At 45.3% G+C, this 17,790-nt stretch overlaps 1 long non-coding RNA gene across 1 annotated transcript in view, besides 4 other annotated features; it reads left to right on the forward strand.

Moving 5' to 3' along the window:
* Window positions 1-2,706, forward strand: part of SPRY4-AS1 (SPRY4 antisense RNA 1) — a 138,762-nt gene extending 136,056 nt beyond the window's left edge. The window contains exon 4 of the long non-coding RNA NR_120664.1: window positions 2,622-2,706. This is a non-coding gene — a long non-coding RNA (SPRY4 antisense RNA 1). The remainder of the gene's footprint in view (window positions 1-2,621) is intronic.
* Window positions 10,956-11,250: an enhancer, noted in NCBI's record as "tiled region #9292; HepG2 Activating DNase unmatched - State 8:EnhW". NCBI's record gives its function as "activates a minimal TATA promoter and a strong SV40 promoter by Sharpr-MPRA in HepG2 cells {active_cell/tissue: HepG2}" and the evidence as "EXISTENCE:reporter gene assay evidence [ECO:0000049][PMID:27701403]".
* Window positions 13,152-13,720: an enhancer, noted in NCBI's record as "OCT4-NANOG-H3K27ac-H3K4me1 hESC enhancer chr5:141854065-141854633 (GRCh37/hg19 assembly coordinates)". NCBI's record gives its function as "activates a minimal SCP1, AML or CMV promoter by ChIP-STARR-seq in naive H9 embryonic stem cells {active_cell/tissue: H9 hESC(naive)}" and the evidence as "EXISTENCE:reporter gene assay evidence [ECO:0000049][PMID:30033119]".
* Window positions 13,721-14,288: an enhancer, noted in NCBI's record as "OCT4-NANOG-H3K27ac hESC enhancer chr5:141854634-141855201 (GRCh37/hg19 assembly coordinates)". NCBI's record gives its function as "activates a minimal SCP1, AML or CMV promoter by ChIP-STARR-seq in primed H9 embryonic stem cells {active_cell/tissue: H9 hESC(primed)}" and the evidence as "EXISTENCE:reporter gene assay evidence [ECO:0000049][PMID:30033119]".
* Window positions 14,843-15,353: an enhancer, noted in NCBI's record as "H3K27ac hESC enhancer chr5:141855756-141856266 (GRCh37/hg19 assembly coordinates)". NCBI's record gives its function as "activates a minimal SCP1, AML or CMV promoter by ChIP-STARR-seq in naive H9 embryonic stem cells {active_cell/tissue: H9 hESC(naive)}" and the evidence as "EXISTENCE:reporter gene assay evidence [ECO:0000049][PMID:30033119]".

Raw genomic sequence — 17,790 nt, forward strand, 5'->3', positions numbered from 1 at the left:
ATGAATACTTGCAAGACACGTCAAATATGAAGACTGCATATATTATCTAGAAATGAAATGTCATTCTGTCAAATGAAATGACAGAACCATATGGCAAGTGGGACGGCACAGGTAGATCTGCAAAAACCAGAAGGTTGGTTGAGAGTAGGCAGAGGACCAAGACTGTGAGGCTAGTAACCTGCTCTCATTGTGGGGTGACTTCTGTCAGCCATGAATGTGGACAGTTGTTCAGCTTGAGAAATTCATATTTGGTAGCTACACTGTGGAAAATCACTGTGCATCATCAGGCAGTGAGGAAAGAAGGTACCAGAATGGTTATAATCCTAGACCTTGTAATCAGACAACCTCCAGGACTTTCTGAAGGCTAGTTATAATTTCTCCAAGCCTCAGTTTCCTTATCTGTAAAGGTGGATAAAAATAGTACTGATATGGTTTGGCTGTGTCCCCACCCAAATCTCATCTTGGGCCAATACAAGTACCTACCTGTTAGGGCTTTCAAAAGGACTAAATGAGGCCAGGTGCACTGACTCACACCTATAATCCCAGCACTTTGGGAGGCTGAGACAGGAGGATGGCTTGAGCCCAGGAGTTCAAGACTAGCCTGGGCAACATAAAAGACCTTGTCTCTACAAAAAATAAAAAAATTGACCTGGCACAGTGTCATGTGCCTCTGGTCCCAGCTACTTGGGAGGCTCAGGTGGGAGAATCATCTGAGTTCAGGAGGTTGAGGCTGCAGTGAGCTATGATCACACCACTGCACTGCAGCCTGGGTGATGGTGAGGCCCTGTCTTAAAAAAAAAAAGACTAAATGAAGAAATGCCTGGAAAGGGCTTAGATCATGGTAAGTGCTTATTAAATGTTAGTTATAATTATCACAGTTAAGCAATATAATTTGTGTCCTTATAAGGAAGAACATTCAGTTTCTCATGTCAGAATAGACAGTGAAGAAGGAAATAAACAGAACACAGGTGCACTTAAATGGATTTTGACCAAAATCTTGCAGAAGAGAGCCTAGGAGAGTTTTCAAGCTATGTTAGAAGTGTTTATCAATTCAGAAGCGAGATTGAGTGACATGGGTCTGGGAAGGTTGAAAGGGAGGAAAAAAAAGAAAATGAATTTTATATCCCTGTTATCTTGACTGTCAGTAGCCTGTGTAAAGCACCCATTGTGTGCAGTGTGCCCCATTAGATATATAGGATTGCACAGATATAGATGAGCTGACCTCTCCTCACATGGAGTTGACCATACATGTTGTCATGATCAGTAAAACAAGTGTAGTAATGATATAAGAACTAAACACAGCAAATGGGCAGGATCACAAATCTAGCACAGGCCTGACTGTATCCAGCTGAAGGCACATCACCTCAGGGACTTCATACATCTCTCTGATAAGTTGCATACCCGCTTCTTGTACTGTGCTTTTCTAGATGCTCTAGGAAATTCGCAGCCTTATCCCTGATTTTAGTGTTGTTTTGGAAGGTAACTGGGGAGCCTATTTAGGAAGCTTTGATGATAGTCCAGGTAATAGGAGATAAGCCCAAATGGGGACAGTGGGATTGGAGAACAGAGAGCAGGTGCAGAAGCTGGTGATATTACATTGGTAAATATCAGTAGGACCCAGCAAGAATGAGGGATAAAGGGGCACGTGCTGCAGTTCTAGCCTGGGTGACCACAGAGTCCTATTCGCAGAGCTTGGGAGACACTGGAGGAATTTGGACCAGTGGTTCTCATGTTCTATAGTGTTTAGGAGTCAACTTTGGAGATTGTTAATGCAGATTCCTAGGATCCACCGCAGGCCTACCGAATCTGAATCTCTAAAGTAGACCTGGAAATCTGCCTTTTTAGCAGGAACCCCAGAGGATTCTGATGCAGGTGGTCTGCAGATCACGCCTTGAAAAATGCTGGTCTAGAGAAAATAAACATCTTAGCTTTGGTCCTCCAGAAAGCAGAGTCGGAGGCAAGGACCCTGGTGCTAAAACTTCATCTGGGAGGTGAAATCGCAGGGTGAGGGTGTGTGGGGCACAGGGAGAGACAACGGGATACATGAATTTCTTTCATTTTCTTTTTTTTCTGCTGGCTATCATTTCCAAATAAGCCATGAAGGATCAAGCAGGTCACTCAGCATGCAGGGCTCTTCCAGACAATTTACTGGAGGAATCCGGCCTTAGCATAGCGGGAGAAAGAAGGAAACAGGAATCCAGCTCTTTCCCACTCTGCCCCTGCTCCTGTTTCTCATTGGTAAAGCACTCTTTGGGGGCTCAGGGTTGTATCACCCATCCTCTCAGTGGCCTCTCAGGAAGCTGGACCTCAGACCATTAGGGGTAGAGGGGCAACCAGGACAGATGGGATCCTGGCCTAGAGAGAAAGGAAGAAGGAAGCAGCGGAGGGTGTCTGAGAAGGTACACAGACTTGTTTCCAAAGAGAGTAAAGAAGTGACGCTGGGAAAGGTAGATTTTTTTTTTTCAGTTCTGTAAGTAATTACAGTTTTGAAGTTGAATAAGAAAGTAGGGAACTTGTCTAAATAGAGTTATATTAACAATGGGAATAAGAAAGGAAGCCTAGAATTTGTACCCATCATACATTTTCTTTAAATTTTTCTTTATTTGTATTCCTTTCTTCAGAACAACTTCCAGTAAAAGAAGGCACTGAGGTTTAAGTGCTACGTGGGAGCAGTTGCCGATTTTTGCAATGGGAGGCTGCATAGATTCAAGGTATCACTTGTTTATTTTATATCCTGAATTAACTTTCCACCTTCCCAGTCCAAAGTTCTAACAAAAGATTTCACTTGGACTAGAGAGCAAATGATTTTGTGACTCTCATCCAAAATCCCACAGCTTTTTCTCTGAAGACCTGTAAGTTCCTAAGACACTCTAAAAGGAATATAAAAATAATAATTGTAATTCTTAAGGAGTGCCAATTACATACTGGATTCCAGAGAGTAATAACTTTGCTTAAGGTTTACGTGAAGCTTTCCCTCTGTGTGTTACCAGAACTTGGCTAACATTATATGCTGGCAAATGGCATTAATCTGTCACAGAAATAGGGGGAATTTAGTCACAGGAAGTTTAAATAACTGATCATGTCCTACAAGGCATTGCCAAGAAATGGACAATTAGATTTACTTTCCACTACCATCCTGAACCATGTAAAAATATCTTGGGTGGCTGCGAGATCTGATTCTAGGAAGAAATATCCCTTGGCTCTCGTAAAGATGTTGATAACTCAGTTGTGAGAAATTGATTTTAGCGGGTGTGTGTGTGTGTGTGTATGCATGTTTGCTTGGGGACAGGGTGTAAAAAAAAATAGCTGTTTTTAATGCAGTCGAACTATGTGTGAGGATAGGTTAGAGGATGGGTGACGACGGATAGGTGATTCAGGGTTTCAGTAGAAGTTAAAGGATGGAGAAGTGAACAACGTGTAGATTCTTTTTTTTTTTTGAGATGGAGTCTCGCTCTGTCGCCCAGGCTGGAGTGCAGTGGTGCAATCTCGGCTCACTGCAAGCTCCACCTCCCAGGTTCATGCCATTCTCCTGCCTCAGCCTCCTGAGTAGCTGGAACTACAGGCGCCCACCACCACGCTCGGCTAATTTTTTGTATTTTTAGTAGAGACGGGGTTTCACCATGTTAGTCAGGATGTTTGCGATCTCCTGACCTCGTGATCTGCCCGCCTCGGCCTCCCAAAGTGCTGGGATTATAGGCGTGAGCCACCGTGCCCGGCCAACAATGTGTAGATTCTTAAGTGCCCATAGGTAATGTGGAATCAAGAAGTAAAGAAAAGTTTTGAGCAAAAAAGGAAAGGGCAAAATAGAGAATAGAAAGAAATGAGAAGGTAGTGTCAAGCAAAGAAACGGAAGGAGAGACAAACTGCTGTAGGAGGTGAAAGTAATCCACTCAGGGAATTATTGGAAGAGATACATGCCTTGTAAAAAGAAAAGCAGGCCCGGCGTGGTGGCTCACATCTTAATCCCAGCACTTTGGGAGGCCAAGGTGGGTGGATCACCTGAGGTCAGAAGTTCGAGATCAGCCTGGCCAACATAGTGAAAACCCGTCTCTACTAAAAATACAAAAATTAGCCAGGCATGGTGGCATGCGCCTGTAATCCCAGTTACTCAGGAGGCTGAGGCATGAGAATTGCTAGAACCCAGGAGGCAGAGGTTGCAGTGAGCTGAGATCTCAGCACTGAGCTCCAGCCTGGGTGACAGAGTGAGATGCTGTAAAAAAAAAAAAAAAAAAAAAAAAATGCTGTTTACTAGCTGCATGTTTGAGAGAGAGGTTGGTTATTGGTGACTGGGTCTGTAATGTTTAGTCAAAAAGGTTTTATTGAGCAACAGCCTCATACAAGGCATTGAGGCAGCAAGGGGAAGAAGAATTTGCCTCTTGCTTACTATGTGCTGTCCTTCCTCCCTGGACCTCCAGGTACATACCCACTTAGAGAAAGAAAGTCAGCAATGGTGGTTGAACAGGATGTGTTGTCTCCAAGGTCTCTTCCACCTCTATAATTCTTTGACTCTGGCCGAGGTCTCCATGGCTCCACAGAGGCTTTAGCAAGTGTGTTCTTGGTAGGCTGGATCTCTGTTAGATTGAATAGTTGTTGTTTTAACTTCTGCCTCCTGATCTTATTGCTACCAGATAGGATGATTTTAGTTGCAAATGGACAGAAAACCTAACTGAAGCCAGCTTAAGCATAAAAGGAATTCATTGGCTTACAATACTGAAAGGTCGTGAGTGGATTCATTCAGCAATAGCTTAATCCTGGACCTCAGATGCTATTCCAGTGCTTTTTGTGTGTGCGTGTGTGTGTGTGTGTCTCTCTCTCTCTCCCCCCCCTTCCCGTGGGTTGTCTCCATTTTCAGGTCTGCTCCTTCCTATGGCAGCAAGATGACTGCCACACCTCCAGTCATCACCTTTCAATCCCCAAATTGCACAGAAAAACATAGCTACCCAAGTGTGAGCTCCCACACACGTCCTGAGCGTCATGCTGATTGTACTGGTTCAGGGCAAACACTCATCCTTGAATCAGACACTGTGGCCAGAGGGATTAAATTGATCAGTACTGGGCCACATGCTCCTCCCTGGAGCCCGAGGTATAGCCCTGCCTGAGCCTTGAGCACTGGGGAGTTTGGGATGACATAACTAGGAGACAGGGAAATGGATTCTGGGGAGCCAAAAATTAATACTGGGCTACCCCAGGCTCTGTGAAACCTGGGAAGAGACATGAGGTTCTGATCCAAAAAACAACAGGAAAAGGCCAGAGGGGCAAGAAAGAATCCTGATCCAGAGATGACCCCAGGATTGAATGACAGGTCCAGAGTGGCAGCTCACTGCCCACTCAGGCTGCCCTTTGTTCCGGGCACTGAATCAGGGATTTTGGATGACCCTGGTACATAGTTACTTCCAGGAGATTACGGAGGGGGGGAAATACTCCACTTCCTGTTTAGGATTACACTCTCAACCCTCCCCTCCCACGCAAGCCATATGTTCATTCTAAGCCGCAGCTTCCAGCCAAAAAAGCCCTTTGTGTTTTCTTGGCAAAACTGGAGCCCAGTAATTAAAGTCCATATGCAAAGCTGCTCCCTCCAGCCCACACCAAGTTCTTTTAATTAGTATGTAATTGGTCAGAGAGGTACTATCAAATAGCTCCCAGTTTGGCCGGCTGGAAATGCAGTGTTTGAAAAGTCCCAGACCAGAGAGGGATAATAAATGCTTTAAGTCCCATCTGTTGGAATGATTTGTTTAAGGTATAAATCGCTGTTCTGTTACTATTTTTAACAATTCTGCTTGTAGCATTTCTTCAAATATGGTAACAACTACCAGAGTATTTATTGGAGGTAGGAGTATGAGTAAATGAACTAGAAGAAGGCTGAGCAAATCCATGTTTTCCCTTCAAAGAAATTCATATAATGCAGTGGAGGTGGGGAGACAAAGAGGTGAGTTGGGCATTTGGTTAACTATTTGTGGTTTTCACAATGAAGAGCTCCTATCGCCCATTAACCTTGCTCCAAACACACCATGTGTGAGAGAGTCTGTGGTGATGTGAAGAAAGACTTTGAATGCACCTTGGTAGACAAGGGTCAGCAGTTGCAGAGAAGCAAAAGGAACAAGCAGGAAAGTGGACACTCCATTGCCCCTAGAAGCCATGGCAATCTAGAGTGAAGCTGGAGTAAGGTTTGAGAAGCAACGGTCTAGGGCAGGGGTCCCCAAACCCTGGGCTGCAGACCCTGTTAGGAACCGGGCAAACAGCAGAAAATGAGCAGTGGGCAGGTGAACATTACCACCTGTGCCCTGCCTCAGTCAGTTCAGTGGTGGCATTAGATTCTTGTGAGAGCGAAACCCTGTTGTGAACTGCGCATGTGAGGGATCTAGGTTTTGTGCTCCTTATGAGAATCTAATGCCTGATGATCTGTCACTGTCTCCCATCACCCCCAGGTGGAACCATCTAGTTGCAGGAAAACAAGCTCAGGGCTCCTGTTGATTCTATATTATGGTGAGTTGTATAATTATTTCATTAATATGTTACAATGTAATAATGATAGAAATAAAGTGCTCAATAAATGTAACGCACTTGAATCATCTCAAAACCATCCCCCCAACCCCCTGGACCTTGGAAAAATTGTCTTTTGCAAAACCGGCCCTTGGTGCCAAAAAGGTTGGGGACCACTGGTTTGGGGATCTTTAAAATTCCTTCCAGCTCTGACAGCGCAGGTCAATATTGATGCTATTGATGCTATTCTTTTTTTTTTTTTTTTGAGACGGAATCTCACTCTCTCACCCAGGCTGGAATGAAGTGGTGTGATCTCAGCTCACTGCAAGCTCTGCCTCCCGGGTTCATGCCATCCTCCTGCCTCAGCCTCCCGAGTAGCTGGGACTACAGGTGCCCACCACCACACCTGGCTAATTTTTTGTATTTTTAGTAGAGATGGGGTTTTGCCATGTTAGCCAGGATGGTCTCGATCTCCTGACCTTGTGATCTGCCAGCCTTGGCCTCCCAAAGTGCTGGGATTACAGGCGTGAGCCACCGCGCCTGGCCTATTATTCTTATAGTCGTAGTGATAATATAATAACAGTGCCACCATCATCATCGCGGCTGCCAGCTTTTACTGCATGCTCACTATGTGTCCGGCACTATGCTCAGTGTTTTACATGGATTGTCTCATCTGAGCTTCACAGCCAACTCTGAGGTTGCTACTATTGCTCTGCCTGTTTCATAGATGAGGACACTGACAGGTTTACTAACTTGCTCAAGGTCACCACATAGTAAGTGGCAGAGCTGGTGTGTGACCCCCCCGGCCATCTGACTCGAAGCCTGCGTTCTTACCCACCACGCTTGCCACCTTCTGCCCAGCATCGCGGAGTACCTGGGTTTTGCTTGATGAAAACGCCATGGAATCAGGAAGCTGGTGGAAGGAACGTGGCTGAGCCCCTTCCAGGTTCTTTTTGTTCAGTTAGCCCCTTGGGCAAACCTGTAGGAAAAAACTTATATTTCAGAACAAAAAATTTCAAACTCATAGAAACAGCAGAAAAGCATTTGCCAGGGGCTGGGTGGGGGGCAGAGGATATGGGGAGATGTTGGTCAAAGGGTACAAACTTTCAGTCCTAGGATGAACAGATTTGGAGGCACTGATGTACAGCCTGATATGACTATAGTTAATCATACTGTATTATATATTTGAAATGTGCTGAGAGTAAACCTTAAACCTCATAAAAAAAAAACAGGTGATGGATATGTTAATTAATTTGGGGTAATCAATTTACAATATTTACATCTATCAAATCATTACATTATACTATTTTAATATATACAATTTTTTTTTTTTGAGACAGAGGTTCACTCTTGTTGCCCAGGCTGGAGTGCAATGGCGTGATCTCGGCTCACCGCAACCTCCACCTCCCAGGTTCAAGTGATTCTCCTGCCTCAGCCTCCCTAATAGCTGGGATTACAGGCATGTGCCACCACGCCTGGCTAATTTTGTATTTTCTTTAGTAGAGACAGGGTTTCTCCATGTTGGTCAGGCTGGTCTCGAACTCCCGACCTCAGGTGATCCGCCTGCCTTGGCCTCCCAAAGTGCTGGGATTACAGGCATGAGCCACTGTGCCCAGCCTAAATATATACAATTTTAACAGTTACACCTCAATAAAGCTGAAAAAGATAAAAATAAAACCAAAAAAATGAGGTTTAGAAGCATAGACGGCTATGTGACATGGTTCTCTAGGAGAACGAGTCGGAGGTCCGTCTCAGCACCTTAACTTCCCAGCTGGCCACTTCTAGGTGTGGAATTGAGGAAGTGTTGCCACAGCCCACAGGTGCAGGTGAGAATGTGCGCCTGTGTTGAGGAGGCTGGGGGAGGTGGATGGAGCATTCGGCTCCACGGCCTTGGATGCGCAGACTTGTGGGGCCTTTCTCACTCTGCTTTTGTGTGGCCAGACCCCTAAGCACTGGACTCCTGTTCCCTCCAGGGACCTCTCTCCTGCTGTCTCCTCACTCTCTGCTTCTGAGAGTAAGAGATGGGGCCTATTTTTGCTCTGTCTGCCCTCCTTCCCAGGAGGCTGAGAAATAACTTGGACTGAGGCCTGCCCCATTGAAGAAGGCCTGACAGTTCTTTTTTTGCCCACTTGTCATGTTGTCTGTCTGTTCATTCATTCCCATTCATTCTCTCCAGGGTCCACCCTTACCCTCCTCTGGCTGGAGAGGACTGGGAGAGTGGCCTAGGTTTACTCCGTTCTAGGCATTGGGTCCGTCGCCCCATTTGTCTTGCTTGTTCTTCTTGCTGGTGTGTTGTGGTGGCTGGCTCTGGGTGGAGGCACAGATTTGGGTCTGGGGGTGGGCATTCAAGAAAACCCCTTGGGGCACTCAAGCCTCGCTAGCTCCAGTGAGGGAGCTCGCAAGCCAGCCAGTGTTGCTGGGGTTCTACTCAGAGCCAGAGGCCAACCAGCCAATAATAAGGTGTTACTTTGCCTTGCTCTGTCCTCCTTGCACCCCTTTCCCTTGGGGCCTCATGGGGAAGGGTGGCTGATTTGTGGTAGGATTTGGGTTTTCTGTGTCCTGGCCAGTCCCTTCATGATGCCCTGTTACTCTCACTCCTGCAGACTCTGTGTGCCTATGAGTGATGAGCAAACTTTGTTAGGTGAGTGGGGTCCAGATGGAAAATGATGGGAAAAACCATGCTAATGTCATGATGCATTGAACAGGAAAGCCACTGATGGAGATGAAAGCATTTGTGTAAAGTAGCCTGGAAGCCTGGAAAGGGAGGGGAACTGTGGGAATTGACGGGAAAGGGAAGTCAGAAGGCCTGGCTTCTAGATGGAAGTCCTGTTTGAAGGGAAAATTAGTGATGCTTAAAATACTATGTTTAACATAAATTAAAGGGGATTTTGACTAGAATCTGGAGTAAATCTTATTTGTCTGACACTTAAATCCTTGCTTCTAGAATGCCCTCTCCTTGCAAAATAACAGTATTTCAGGTTTTGGTTACAATGCTGTATGAATAGATCTTGGTTTAGAAGGGCAATTGATCAGCCCCATGTGAGAGTTATTTACAGTACCTTTCCTTTTAGTAACATCTGAAACAAAGGTTGGTTTTTTAAAAAGTCTTTGTAGCATTCCTGACAAAACTTAAGAGACTTGCCTGATGGCACCGCTACATGCAGTTTGGTTTGTAATCTAGGGACAGTTCCAGCATGCAGAGATTCAGAGTGGGTTTCTTTGTGGTTTGTCTGCACCTGCCGGAGATCTGGTGCACCTATTAAACTTACAAGGCAGCTATTAGCCACCAACTGACACCAAGATTATAGGTTAAACTCTGAATTGGTTTAAACGGTGTCATCTGTCCACCAGGGCAGAGAGCAAGGTGGGGGGCATGTGTTTGGCAAATGGTAGGAAGTCACTCCAGCCTGGGGAGGAAAGTCTGATTATTAGCAACGGTAACACACAAAGAGGAGCGGGGTTGGGGTGGGCTTGTTGGAAAAGCCTTGAACCTGGAGTCAGAGAGACCCAAGTGTTGAATCCTGATTGTGTAACTCTGGTAAGCCTCAGTTTGTCATCTTGAAAATGGGAATGATAGGCCGGGCACGGTGGCTCACGCCTGTAATCCCAGCACTTTGGGAGGCCAAGGAGGGCAGATCATGAGGTCCGGAGATTGAGACCATCCTGGCTAACACAGTGAGACCCCGTCTCTACTAAAAATAGAAAAAAATTAGCCGGGCGTGGTGGCGGGCGCCTGTAGTCTCAGCTACTTGGGAGGCTGAGGCAGGAGAATGGCGTGAACCCAGGAGGCAGAGCTTGCAGTGAGCTGAGATCGCGCCACTGCACTCCAGCCTGGGTGACAGAGCGAGACTCCATTTCAAAAAAAAGAAAAAAGAAAGAAAATGAGAATGATAATACCTGATTTACAAAACAGAATTCAATGAATTTGAATTCACACAATTCTTGCTGACGTTCACACAATTCTTGCTGACACATTCACACAATTCTTGTGACATTCACACAATTCTTGCTGACATTCTTGCTGAATTGTGACATTCACACAATTCTTGCTGACACAGTACCTCACACCTGTAATCCCAGCACTTTGGGAGATTGAGGCAGGTGGATCTCCTGAGGCCAGGAGTTCAAAACCAGCCTGGCCAACATGGCAAAACCTCATCTCTACTAAAAATACAAAAATCAGCTGGGCGTGGTGGTGCATGTCTGTAATCCCAGCTACTCGGGAGGCTGAGGCACAAGAATCGCTTGAACCTGGGAGGCGGAGGTTGCAATGAGCTGAGATCGTGCCACTGCATTCCAGCCTGGGTGATAGAGCAAGATTCTGTCTTAAAAAACAAAACAAAACAAAACAAAACAAAAAACAAAAAAAAAGCTACACCGAGCTGCCTTAGTAGAAAAATAGCAGCAGCAGCATTGAAAAGAGAATTTTGTACAAGTCTCCAGCCTGCTGAATAGGGTAATTGAGAGAAAAGTTAAGCGTGCAGCTCTGGAGTCACACAGACTTGGATTCAAGTCTTGGCTGTGATACTTACATATGCTCAGGGTGTGCGACCTAGGGTGACCTCTCTGAGCCACAGTGTCCTCATTAGGATCATGGTAACATACATATCTATAGAGTCATGAAGAGTAAATGACACTACAATACAGTGCTGGGCTCACAGCTCCGGAAATGCTCATAGGCTCCGGAAATGCTCAGTCACCTTCTCTGTTAGTCACCTTGTTCCATCAAGCAGCATTTTTTCCTCTTGCATCACCACTACTTACTCTAAACTGGATTTTACCCTGAGTAGGGTAAAATTTTTCCCCTCTTCCTACAAGTACCCCCAGAAGCTTCCTACAAGCATGCCCCAGACTTTACTAATTGCAGGCCACCTGCCCAATTTCTGCCACCATTGCCTGCCTCCTCCATTGTTATTTAATATTTCTTCAAATTAACTTTTTAATACTTAAATGCATTTAAAGAAAACTTCACATCACTATTATAAGCAAATAGCGAATAGATCTTTAAATAGAATGTCTATGAATCACCTAAAATCCTCATATGTGCTCTCAGACACATCCACGTTATACTTGGGGAAATACTGGTCTGGTCCTTTACTCTTTAAAGTGTGGTCTCTGGACCGCAGCCTCAGCATGCCTGAGAATTGTTAGAAATGCAGTATCTCAGACCCCATCCCATACCTCCTGAATGAGAATCTGCATTTTTAGAAGATCCCCAATGATGGACATACTTTTTTGGGGGGAATTTATTACATTTTTTATTGAAGTGACATTCATATGCACACTTTTAAAGTTTGAGAAGCAGTAGTCTAGGGGATCTTTAAAATCCCTTCCAACTCTGGTGTGTGCCTATAGCCCAGTGACTTGTAACTCTGGAGCAGAAGGATTGCTTGAACCCAGGAGTTTGAGGCCAGACTGGGCAACATAGCAAGACCCTGTCTCTGAAAAAAAAATTCTTCTAGTTCTAACAACAAAGGTCAACTATTGATATTACTCTCTCTCTTTCTGAAATCCAGATCCATATTTCCAACTGACATATTCTACTTCAGGCCTAAACCTTGCCTTTCCCCACCTCCTCATCCTTGTAACCTTAGAAGCATCCATCATTAACTCCTTCCTCCCTGTTCCCTGACATCAGTTCTTGCCAAGGATGCCCAACCCTGTCTCCATCAGCCTCTCTCTGTCCATTCCTATAGCTCCAATTGCACTTCCAGTCCCTTACATCTTAGTGCCTGGGCTGTCACCCTCTCCTTCATTCTCTTTCCTCCAACTCTTGACAGCTCTGTATTCTTTTTTTTTTTTTTTTGAGATGGCAGAGTCTCACTCTGTCTCCCAGGCTGGAGTGCAGTGGTGCGATCTCAGCTCACTGCAACCTCTGCCTCTTGGGTTCAGGCAATTCTCCTGCCTCAGCCTCCCAAGTAGCTAGGACTACAGGTGCCCGCCACCATGCCCAGCTAGTTTTTTTTTTTTTTTTTGAGATGGAGTCTCGCTCTGTTGCCCAGGCTGGAGTGCAGTGGCATGATCTTGGCTCACTGCAAGCTCCGCCTCCCAGGCTGGAGTGCAATGGCATGATCTTGGCTCACTGCAAGTCCCGCCTCCCAGGTTCACGCCATTCTCCCGCCTCAGCTTCCCGAGTAGCTGGGACTGTAGGTGCCCACCACCACGCCTGGCTAATTTTTTGGTATTTTTAGTAGAGACGGGGTTTCACCATGTTAGCCATGATGGTCTCCACCTCCTGACCTGGTGTTCTACCCGTCTCGGCCTCCCAAAGTGCTGGGATTAGAGGTGTGAGCCACCCCGCCAGGCCACATCCAGCTAATTTTTTGTATTTTTAGTAGAGACTGGGTTTCACCGTGTTAGCCAGGATGGTCTCGATCTCCTGACCTCATGATCCGCCTACCTCGGTCTCCCAAAGTGTTGGGATTACAGGCGTGAGCCACCGCGCCCGGCCCAGACAGCTCTGTATTCTTAAGGCAGCGTTGATCGTCTCAGTCCACTGCTCAGTTACCTTTAGTAATTCCCTATTATCTACCACATAGTAGCCAGGCTCCTTGGTCTGTCACTTAAGGCTCTCCACTAAGTGACTGATTGTGAGCTCTCACCTGCATATACCCTGAGCTGTAGATAAGTCAGAGGAGCTATTGCTTTATGTATGCAAAGCTTTCCTGCCCCTGCATCCTTGACTAAGGATTTCTCATTTCTGAAATGCATTTTTCTCCAACCTCCCTATTTGCTATCTCCATCTCTGAAAACTCTTAACAGCCTGAGAACCCTGCTCACATTTCACCCCCTCCCTGAAGCCTTCTGTGGCTCCCCAACTGCATAGCTGTCCTTACACGTCATAGCATGATGATGATCTCTGCCCAGAGGCAGTTACATTAGTACAAACCTTAACTCTTCAATTCTGTGTAGCAGGTGCCACTCCCAGTGCCACAGAGTCAATTTAATTTTCTTATAACTAAGTTTCTTTTCTGAGCTCCCCTTCTGCTTGTGAATATACCATCCCATTCCCCACCCTACTCCCTTTGCCTCAGGGCAGCATCTATATTCTAGAGGATTAGGGCCAAGGCAAGATGGGATCTCTTGCCTTGTGTCATCTGTCTATTTACTAGAATGCATGTCATCCTGTCCAGTCCTTAGTCACAGGGACTGGACAGTATGCTTCTTTGTCCCTTGTTTCCCTCTGCAAGACCTCGTTAGGTCCTGCAACTCTGCTCTTCCTGCATTGTCATCTCCCTTAGGCCCATGGGACCCTTCTTCTGCCCCACACCATGCTGGGGGCAAGGGAACTCTGCATGGTTGCCTAGCACCCGGATGCCTTAATGCAGCCCTGCCTCTCTGAGGTCTTGACAGTTCCCCTAGGGATGGGTCACCTCAGCTCTCAGAGCTTCCAAACCTGTCTGGAATTTTTTGCTGTTTCCCCCTCCCTTGGAGTTCATCCTGTTTGGAGGTTGGTTGGGAGACTTTAATCTCCTGTGGGGTCAGGAAGCCTTGTTCTTACATTATCATGTATTTTCCCCCAAAGTGTTAATTACCAGAGTCCATTCCATTCCCAACAGGGTGTAGTCTTTGAAGCTCAAAAGAAATTTTCTTCCTGCTTGTCATCCATTCCTTCCCTAAGGCAAGAAACACAAAATAGTCCTGCTGACTGAATAGGGCAAGGGCCATGGAAACCCGGAGAAAAATTCAGCATTAACGTTATAAAATATTCTCCTGCTCCATGATTTGTAAACCGCTTGAGGACAGGGAACTTGATTTCATTCATCTTAATATTTCCCTAGGGCAACTGACATAGTTCCTTGCACAGAAAAGGCATTAAATACACATTTTTCAGGCATAAGAATAAATGATGGAGTGTGTTTTAAATTCTGTATTATTAGCATCTAATTTATGATTTTTCATCTCACCGATATTAACAGCTGTCCATCTTTCTATAATGTGATGTTAAAATATGAATAGAAAAAAGTTAACCTAGTGATTGGACTGACTGGATAAAATCACATAAATGGGAATAAAGATATGTAACACATTCCTTTATTTACACAGCCTATATGTTAAGGACTTTCTCTTGCAGGAGGCATTGAGAGATAGCTGTGGATGAAAGATTCAAGGCCCCTGGCAGGGTTGTAGGGAGACAGATAATTAACACATGTTCAAATAAATAGGATATTTTTAGATATAGACAAGTGCTATGAAGAAATTCTTACAAGAAATGTAAAACTGCACAGAAGGAAAGGTACACAGGGCTCTGATACAGTAAAACAGAGATACCTGGGAGGAATTCTTGTGCTGAAATCTAAAAGAGGAGTAGGAATAACCAGGCGGAGGAGACAGTGAAGACGAGGGTGAGGAGGGGCAGAGCATTTCAGGCAGAGAGAATAGCCCTGTGGCAGGAAGAAGCACCTCCCGGCCCTCATGGAGCTCACAGCCAGTTGGTAGAGGGAACGTTCTCTGTGGCAGCACTACCATGGCACACTAATTGGTTTGTTTAATTTCTGCCCGTTATTTCTTTAGGAGCTTGTATCTTGCTAAATATAATTTGTGCCTTTTTTAAAAAAATGACAGCGTGTTCTTGGTGTATGCTGTTTTATGGAATAATGCACTCCTAGTGAGAATATCACTGGTCGGTGAAATAATTCATGAGAGTGAGATGGACAGGGCTAACACAGGTATAGTGTGTTGATTGCATTAGTCTGTTGATTGACTTAGACTTATAACCTCTGACATGGTCTTGGGAAAACTCAGTGTTTGCAAATGCCAGAGTGAGGCTGCATGGGGGACATGGGTAAGATTTGAGCTGTATATTAGTTAATGTAACCCTAGCTGCTACTAACGTATTTTGGTGGCTTAATACATACATGTTTATTTCTCACTGGATGTTCTAATCAGCAGGTGGTTCTCCTCTAAGCGGTGGTTCAAGCTCACAGCTTCCTTCCATCTTATGGCTCCACCATTGTCAGCGTGTCTCTTCCAAGACCATGCAGAAGGGTAAAGGGCATGGTAGATTATGCATGAGAGGTTTTAGTGGGCCAGGCCTGGAAGTGACACTCATCACTTCTGCCCATATATCTCTGGCCCGAACTCAGTCACATGGCTGCAGCTTACTGCAAGGAAGATGGGAAATACAGTCTAGTGATGGGCCCAAGAAAAAGTAGAGACTGCTTTAATGAAGCATGAACATCCCTTCTGCAGTTTAATCCTGACACCCCTTCTACTTGGGTTCATTTTCTTCTATGGCCTCTGTCTATTTCCTTAAAAAATAAAAAAAGCCACATTTGGAAAGTAAGTATGTTCATATATGGCATAAATAAATGGTACTCCCCAAAATTGCTCATACTTTTACTTTTCTTTCTTCTGTTCATTCATTCATTCTTTTTTTTTTGAGACGGAGTCTTGTTCTGTTGCCCAGGCTGGAGTGCAGTGGCACGATCTTGGCTCACTGCAAACTCCACCTCCCAGGTTCATGCCATTCTCCTGCCTCAGCCTCCCGAGTAGCTGGGACTACAGGCACCTGCCACCACACCCGGCTAAATTTTTGTATTTTTAGTAGAGACGGGGTTTCACCATGTTAGCCAGGATGGTCTCGATCTCCTGACCTCATGACCTGCCCGCCTCGGCCTCCCAAAGTGCTGGGATTACAGGTGTGAGCCACTGCGCCCGGCCAAGAGTCAGGAATTTTTATTAATTTTTTTTTCTGAGATGGAGTCTCACTCTGTCACCCAGGCTGGAGTGCAGTGGTGCGCTCTTGGCTCACTGCACCCTCTGCCTCTCAGGTTCAGGGATTCTCCTGCCTCAGCCTCCCGAGTAGCTGGGATTACAGGCACATGCTCGTACGCCTGGCTAATTTTTGTATTTTTAGTAGAGATGTGGTTTTGCCATGTTGGCCACACTGGTGTGGGACTCCTGACCTCAAGTGATCCGCCTGCTTCAGCCTCCCAAAGTGCTGGGATTATAGGCGTGAGTCATGGTGCCAGTGAATTTCTATTAATTTTGATTATTATTTTATAAGTTTGAATATAACCAACTCACCTTTCATATATTTATAAGTCTAAAAAAGTCAATGGACAATGTATAATTTGGAAATCACTTATTTCCATTTGGAGGGGGATCTCAGGGGGATATAGTTAGCTTTGGAGAACATAAGATCATTTGGTTTTAGAGGTCACCTTATCCTGATCGCATGAAAGGAAAGGATGGAATTCAAGCTTTTTATGACCTAAACCCTCAATGTCTGTCTCTATCCTTAGTAAGAAATGGGGAAGGGGAACAATAACGGGAGCATTATTGAGAGCTGTTAATTTACTGCTTGATTATACAGGGCTATGAAATATGAAAGACATTGGGGACTGTGAGCATGGTTCCCCTAAATGCCCCGTTGCCCACAGGGAACCAGCCCAGGGACTGGGTTGGCTTCAGAAGACTGGACAGGTGGCTTGGTAATTAAAACCTTTCCCTTCTAACTGCAGGCCTTGTTTTGCCAGGAATCTGAGGTGAAGAAAATGTTCTGGTTATATGCCTCTACCAGCTGCTTTGAAAGCTTCCTCACAGCTGTCTTCAAACCACAGCAGACAGCCACATCTCTACTTTCAAAATCTTGGGGGCTTAGTGTTATTTGAGATGGGATAAGCAGACATGGAGGTGAGGGAAGATTTATTCCTGAACTCAAATGTTCTGAGCCCTTTTGAAGAATCAAACAGCACAGAAGAAAGTCTGGCATGCACATGTTTCCTCCTTGTATCAGCTCTATGCGATGGAGGCTATTAGTCTTTGTTTCATGGATGAGACCACTGAGGCACAGAGGATTTAAGTAACTTGATCAAGATCATGCAGTTGAGTGTCAGAGTCAGGACTCAAATCCAGTCCGCCTTGACCCCAAGTTCAGGCTTTGGTAATCTCCACTCTTAAGAATGTTCAAAATTTAACTCTCAGTTTTTCTCCAAATACGGGCTCTACCCTCAGTTTTCCTCCATCTCAGTTTGTAGCCATTCAGCCTTCCAATTGCTCAGGCCAAAAACCCTGGCATCATCTTTGAGGTGTTTCTTTCTCTCATGCCCAAAGTAGAATTTATCAGGAAACCCAACTAATTGTATCGTCAAAATATATCAGGAATTTGACCACATCTCACCATTTCCAATGCTATCACCTTTGCCAATGCTCCTGTCTCTTGCATGGGTTTCTGTAATAGTCTTGACACTGATCTCTGCTTCTTGCCTTACAATCCTCCAGTCTCTTCTCGTCACACCAGAGAGATCCAGGTTAGTAAGCAGCTCTACTCTGCAAGATCGTTGTGGGACTGAAACTCCTTCCATC

The sequence above is a fragment of the Homo sapiens genome, chromosome 5 (genome assembly GCF_000001405.40).
Source record: "Homo sapiens chromosome 5, GRCh38.p14 Primary Assembly".
Classification (NCBI taxonomy): domain Eukaryota; kingdom Metazoa; phylum Chordata; class Mammalia; order Primates; family Hominidae; genus Homo; species Homo sapiens.